Source organism: Homo sapiens, chromosome 10 (assembly GCF_000001405.40).
Source record: "Homo sapiens chromosome 10, GRCh38.p14 Primary Assembly".
Lineage (NCBI taxonomy): Eukaryota > Metazoa > Chordata > Mammalia > Primates > Hominidae > Homo > Homo sapiens.
Genome location: NC_000010.11, coordinates 100,885,345 through 100,891,468, shown reverse-complemented (window position 1 = coordinate 100,891,468; position 6,124 = coordinate 100,885,345). Strand labels below are relative to the sequence as shown.

The 6,124-nt window shown below is 47.0% G+C and overlaps 2 annotated features.

Annotated features, from left to right (window-relative positions):
* Positions 282-1,481: an enhancer, noted in NCBI's record as "BRD4-independent group 4 enhancer chr10:102649745-102650944 (GRCh37/hg19 assembly coordinates)". NCBI's record gives its function as "activates an origin of replication core promoter dependent on BRD2, P300/CBP, MED14 and CDK7 cofactors, and independent of BRD4, by STARR-seq in HCT116 cells {active_cell/tissue: HCT116}" and the evidence as "EXISTENCE:reporter gene assay evidence [ECO:0000049][PMID:35650434]".
* Positions 463-757: an enhancer, noted in NCBI's record as "tiled region #13917; HepG2 Activating non-DNase unmatched - State 7:EnhWF, and K562 Activating DNase unmatched - State 9:DNaseU". NCBI's record gives its function as "activates a minimal TATA promoter and a strong SV40 promoter by Sharpr-MPRA in HepG2 and K562 cells {active_cell/tissue: HepG2 | K562}" and the evidence as "EXISTENCE:reporter gene assay evidence [ECO:0000049][PMID:27701403]".

The following is a 6,124-nucleotide window of genomic DNA, read 5'->3' as shown; positions in this document are numbered from 1 at the left end:
TCTAGTGCTTTCTAGGCTGGGCTATTGCAATCTGGAATCTACAGCAGCTGCTGCTCATATCATCATTTTCCAGCCCTCCTTTAAAAAACGCATTAAAAAAAATCTTGATGGACTACAGTATTGTGGAAAAGCAACAGACCTGGACCAGCGAGCTCAGACTCCCTCTCCCCGACTGGTCAATGAGAAACCCTGGGTTTATGTGCCTTACCCCCAAAAGAGTTATAAAGTTTAGTAAGTGCCTGGAAAGCAGGCAAGACTCTGCGATGCAATCTGGATCACCCATTACCAATTTGCTTTGCTCATCCACCGTAGTGGCTGGGCCTTATGCTTCCTAGGGGAAAATGAGCAGTTTGAATGCCTGCCCCCTCCTTCTCTCCTCTCCCATCTTATCCACTCTCCTCCCTTTGTTCTCCATTAATGTGTTCTCTAATGTGGGGGTGCCCATATTTGTGGCTATTTGGGGAGAAAACTTTGAGCCAAACTTGGGGCTTCACACATAACCCCAAGTTGTAAGCATGCGATGTAGCCTGCAGAGGTTACAAAAGGCAGATTACCATGTGGTGCTGCGGTTGCAGTTATTTCATGCCATTTTGTATTTCCGCTCTCTAGGGTAGTGACTCACTGCTTTCCAGTTCAATGTGAGGACATGTCCCACAGTGTTGACTGCCTGATGCTCCTGGAGGACATTCCTAACCCACCACTCACCAAGTTATTAGAAATCTAACTCCGAAATCACTAATCCCCAAATAGCCTCTATTCTCTCAACTGCTGGCTTCCTTGCTTTGATTTTATGCACAGTAGTTCTAAACTCAAGGCCAAAAATTCTACCCCATGCCGAGCCACTTTCAAAGGAGAACCAATATGCTAGGACTAGAGGGGGATTTGAATAGCAGCTAATTGTCAGTTTGTCTAGTGAATAAAGCTTCCTCTCTCCCCTGAGCAAGCTGGTTATTTGTTAAAGTTTGCTGGGGTTTTGGAGCACCTCACTGTTAGGGGCAGTTCAAACTCAGCAGTTTTAATTATTAATCAGGTCAAAGGCTGATGACAATTTTTCCTCTCTTCAGGGGAGGGTCTTGAGAGTTCACAGGAGGGGATGTCCAAGCCCTGTCCTGTGACGGGGTGGAAAGGAAGGAGAGAGGGAAACAATTCAAGTCAGACCAGTCCCGAGTTCCTAATGGTTCCTTTGCCCTAGACAGACCGTATTGGAAAGTCGCTTAATCTGCCTCTGGGTTCATTTTAAGCGAATATAGGTCTTCATCCTTTCCAGGGGGTTGTAGCTTTCTGAGTTGATAAAAATTCCAGACTTGATAGAACATGTTAAAATGTTGTACCCTTGCAAATTGGAGTGCAGAAAAGGTGGTATGCTCTTCAAATGTGTCTACTCTGAGGTATCACCTTCCTCGGGGTGAGAATGGGGAGGGGTGCCTTCTGCTTGAGCACATGTAGAAAAGGCGTGAGGCTTTTTCCAGTTTGAGTTTGTAACATTTTCAAATACAGCCCTTCCTCCCACACTTCTTTCCTGATCCCTGTGGGTCTCCTTTCTCCTTTTGGCCTGAGACCCCAACTTGACAAGATCCAGAAAGGTCTCTTTTACATCTGCCTATTTGTTAGCCATTCTAAACTATTCCAGCAGCCTCTGCCTCCCACCCTCGTTGCTAGGCAGATTCCCTGGTTGCTAGGCCACCACTGCTCCTTCCCTGCCTCAAAAAGAGGTACGAATTTCCGGTGACCCACTCAACCATCCACCCACCCACTCACACACTGACAAAACAAATAGGTCCTAAACACCTACTAGATGTGAAACTCTGAGCCCAGCGTAGAACAGTTCCAAATGGAAAGAGAGATGGCAAATCCAGGGGTATCTGATATAGAGGTGACCAGTTGTGGGGGTGATGAGCATGCTGTCTCCTGGGAGTTTTCTCCGGGAACAGCCATAGACTGGGATAATTTTCTCTGACCCTCAGCCTTTTGGGTGCAGAAAACTCATTTTCTGCCCAACCAGAAACAGATCCTTGTCCTAGTGGCAAAAGCATATTGATCAGGCTTGAGAGACTAATGCCTAAAACCAGAAAGTGAATTTATTAATTTATGATGTGAATGAAGTCTGTCACATGGATCCAAGATAATCTACTTTTCTAGAAATGATGGTGTCACCGAAGGATATTGGAGAGCTGGTATAGAGCACCAGTTTGCATAGGAAAGGGAGTATATCTGTATATCTATATTAATTTTAACATTCTTACTATATGTCAGGCAAAATGCTAGATGGTTTACAGATGCAATTTTATTAGTTCCTCCTATCAACCATGAGAGGGAGCTACAAAACACTCCTTCCAATGTCACAGAAAAAGCAGTTCCAGTTAAACGACTTAACTCAGGTCTTCCAGCTAATAGATGACAGGACCAGAATTTGAACCCCAAAGCCCATGGTTGGACCAATGGATTCCAGCTACCTGGCAATAGTAGGCTGACACGTTAGCTTGGGGGCAAGTTGGGTAATGGATGCTAAGGCGCTGATGAATGAGCCTGATGGAAATTTCCAATAAATGATGGAACATGTGGAAGTGGAACTCTGTTGAACCTACATCTAGAGATGGGAATTGGAGGCATCATCTAGCATTTAGCTCACTTCTTCTGGAGGTGCTCTGAGAGAACAGTTTCTCAATTCTTGGTGATAGTTGATACGTATTTGTGCTTGTTAGCTCCAGTGTAGCAGTGGAATATAGGAAGGTCATGTGGGCTGGCATCTAAATGGTGGGGAACAGGGGACCTAAGAGGGATTGCTAGGGCTGGGAGCTCAGAAGGAAAGGCTTCTGGAGTAATAGCTTCACCACCATCCTGCCAGACAGACATCAACCCAAGAGTCCCAGCACCTAAAGCTACCAAGAGACCAAGATCTTAGCTTTTTTTGTTGTTGTTTTTTAAAGAGACAAGGTCTCACTCTGTCACCCAGGCTAGAGTACAGTGGTGTTCACTATGACTTCAAACTTCTGGGCTCAAGCTATCCTCCTGCCTCAGCCTCCCAAGTAACTAGGACTGTAGGTGGGTACCACCACGCCCAGCTAGCTTTCTAAAAAATTTTCTTTGTAGACATAGGCTCTCACTATGTTGTCCAGGTTGGTCTTGAACCCCTGGCCTCAAACAATTCTCCCACCTTAGCCTTCCAAAGTGCTGGGATTACAAGTGTGAATCACCATGCCTGGCCAATTTTAGCTTTAAGGAAAGGTAGAAGCAGCCTTGGGGAGAAGGTCGCATGTTTGTGGGTGGAGCAGAGTCACTGAGCTCTCTGGAAGGGGCACCCCGGAACCGGCATAAGAAGGTCGGCAGAGGAGTGCATTCCTCGTTCAGGGGCCAGGTCAGGAGCCCCAACTAGGGGGCAGAGCAGACATAGCACAGCCTAGATTTGGGAGCCAGATTCAGACAGGAGCCTGGGTGGCATTGTTCTGAAAGCCGAGAACTCAATGAGACATGGCAATGGTGTTAACCGCTGTGGAGACAAGAGCGACTCCATCGCGGATGCTAACCCGCCATGTTAACTTATGAGTAGCCCCAGTCCTGAGTGCCTCCTGATTCCTACCTTGTTTGTCTCTAGTGTAAGAACAAAGCAACCCTGATGTTATCGCACAAATTATAGGCTATGACGCATGTAGCATTCTTGCCTCTTCCGGAGGGTTGCCTTGCATTGTCCTGCTGGAGTGTGTGCACCCTTTCTCTATGGTATATAAGCCATGGGTCTGGGGAGTAACAGTGCAGAAATCTACCTATCTTGCATCCATGCAAGACCATGCTTCTCTCTGTAAGTTCCCCCCAATAAAACACCCTTTACTGACAAATTGGATTTGTTTGCCTCGTTCTTTGTTTCTCAGCTCCTTCAGCATTTGGGGGCCACTTTGCACATATGGCCCTTTCCCAGAACAACCTCTATCTCAGGCTAAACTCCAAGCCCTAATGAATTGAGGAAGAATGAGGAGCAAGGGGTCAAAAACCTGTACCTTTTCTTCCTACCCTTCTTAGCCTCTTGTTCTTGCAACAAACTATTCTGGGTCTAGACTTGAATTATGCTGGGGAAGGAATCTGTGTTCCGTAAGTTGTCTGTTTCTCTGCCTTTGTAATTTACTTTTTTGGCGTTCCCCCCAGTTTCCTAGCGAAGTGCTTTTTGAACAATCTCAGCCTTGTCTGGACGCCTGAGATTTGCCCACATTTGGGCCGAGACAGCCAAGGGGTTCCAGGGCCCCTGGAAATTTAGCATGGTGGGGCCAGCAGCTGTCTCAGCTGGATTTGCAGGAAACAGCTGGTGGAGCCAGGGCAGAGAGAGGTGAAATCTCGAGAGAGGAAGAGATTGAGAAACAGAGAGAGATGGGAGCAGCTGCAGTTGCTAAGCTCTTCCAGCCTGGGTTCTTCCATTACAGAGGCCTGCCACCGTCTCCAGCTCTCCCCACACTGACTTTACTCAAAAAGACATAAACAAGTTAAAGTAGTGATGCCCCAGGGACTATAAACAGTGAGCATGGAGAGTATCTGATGGGGAATCAGACCTAGGGTTCTTACCTTAGAGCCTGGGTTGTGTTCACCTGCAAAGCTTAACAGCACCTGGGGTGTGATTCAGTTGGAGGGGGGATTATGCCCCAGACATTAGACCATGACTGTTTGGGGATAAGGTCCAATCAGAGAACATAGCATTCAATTGAAATAGCAGGGAATTGGAGGAATTTGGGCTCTCCTGTTAGTTTAGTAAACTGAGAGTCTCTCAAAGATTTGTGTATGGCTCTGGCCTGCGCCTGATAGAAGGCCCTCCCACAACCCGTACCTCCCTTACTCGGTGAGCCATGATTTTTCTTTTTACTTAAAGACCTGGAATTATGAAACAACCGGAGAAACACACGCATTCTTTGACTTATTGCTAGTTGGCCCTTTGGGAGGAATGGCTGAGGTTAGGAAGGTGCCAGAGTTACTCAGAAAGTTCTGGAGGGTACCTACTTCTAACCCACAAATACTTTGCAGACGCAGGCTTGGTTCCTGGGCAGCAGCGGTTAAATTGAAATCTTGATTCTCTTGGTAACTTGATGGCTTAGTTTAGGCCTCAGATTGCTGTTCCATGAACTGCCTTGAAATTTAATCACCCAAATTTATTTCCTAGAGTGTTTTTCACCATCTCCTCCTCTAGGCCCATTAGTCACCATCCCGTGACCTGACAGAGTGATTATTAAAGACCCTGTGGTTCCCTTTCACTAGATTTAGGGGTGTTGGTAACTCTGGAGGCAAGTTCTAACTTGGGTCACAGTTGGGTGGATTTTCCCTCAATTGGTTGTGAATCTTCCCTCAGGGCACCTGGAGGCCTGGGAGAATTACACTGTGTACCTGCCATTTCTTCTTTAAAGCTGGCGAGATGGTTACTGGTGTCTTCTAGGGCTGGTGTTTTCAGGCTAGGGGTTATATTATCCTTTGCCCCTGAGCGCATTACTGACATCTCCCAGCTTCAATTTCCCTTTTGGTAAAAGAGGGATAATGCCCATAAAAGATCGGTGCTGACTGGGCGCGGTGGCTCATGCCTATTATCCCAGCACTTTGGGAGACCGAGGCAGGTGGATCATGAAGTCAGGAAAGCGAGACCATCCTGGCTAACGCAGTGAAACCCTGTCTCTACTAAAAATACACACACACACAAAAAATAGCTGGGCGTGGTGGCGGGCCCCTGTAGTCCCAGCTACTTGGGAGGCTGAAGCAGGAGAATAGCGTGAACCCTGGAGGTGGAGCTTGTAGTGAGCCGAGATCGCGCCACTGCACTCCAGCCTAGGTGATAGAGCGAGACTCTGTCTCAAAAAAAAAAAAAGTCAGTGCTGAGCCTGGCACATCAGCATGCAACGAAATGTTAGCTCCCTTCCCTTCCAGCTGGTACTAGACCTGGGCCTTCCTTTGAGGATCTTGGAAGAGAAATTTTATTAGTCTGATTTAGAAGCATTCTTACAGAACTTTATTTCAAGAATAGTTCATAAATGTTTAACTCTCTCCCCCTTCCAACCTAGTCCTCTTCTAAATAGGGGCTGCAGACCAGGTGCAGTGGTTCTTGCCTGTAATCCCGACACTGGGAGCCTGAGGCAGGTGGATTGCTTGAGCCCAGGAGTTT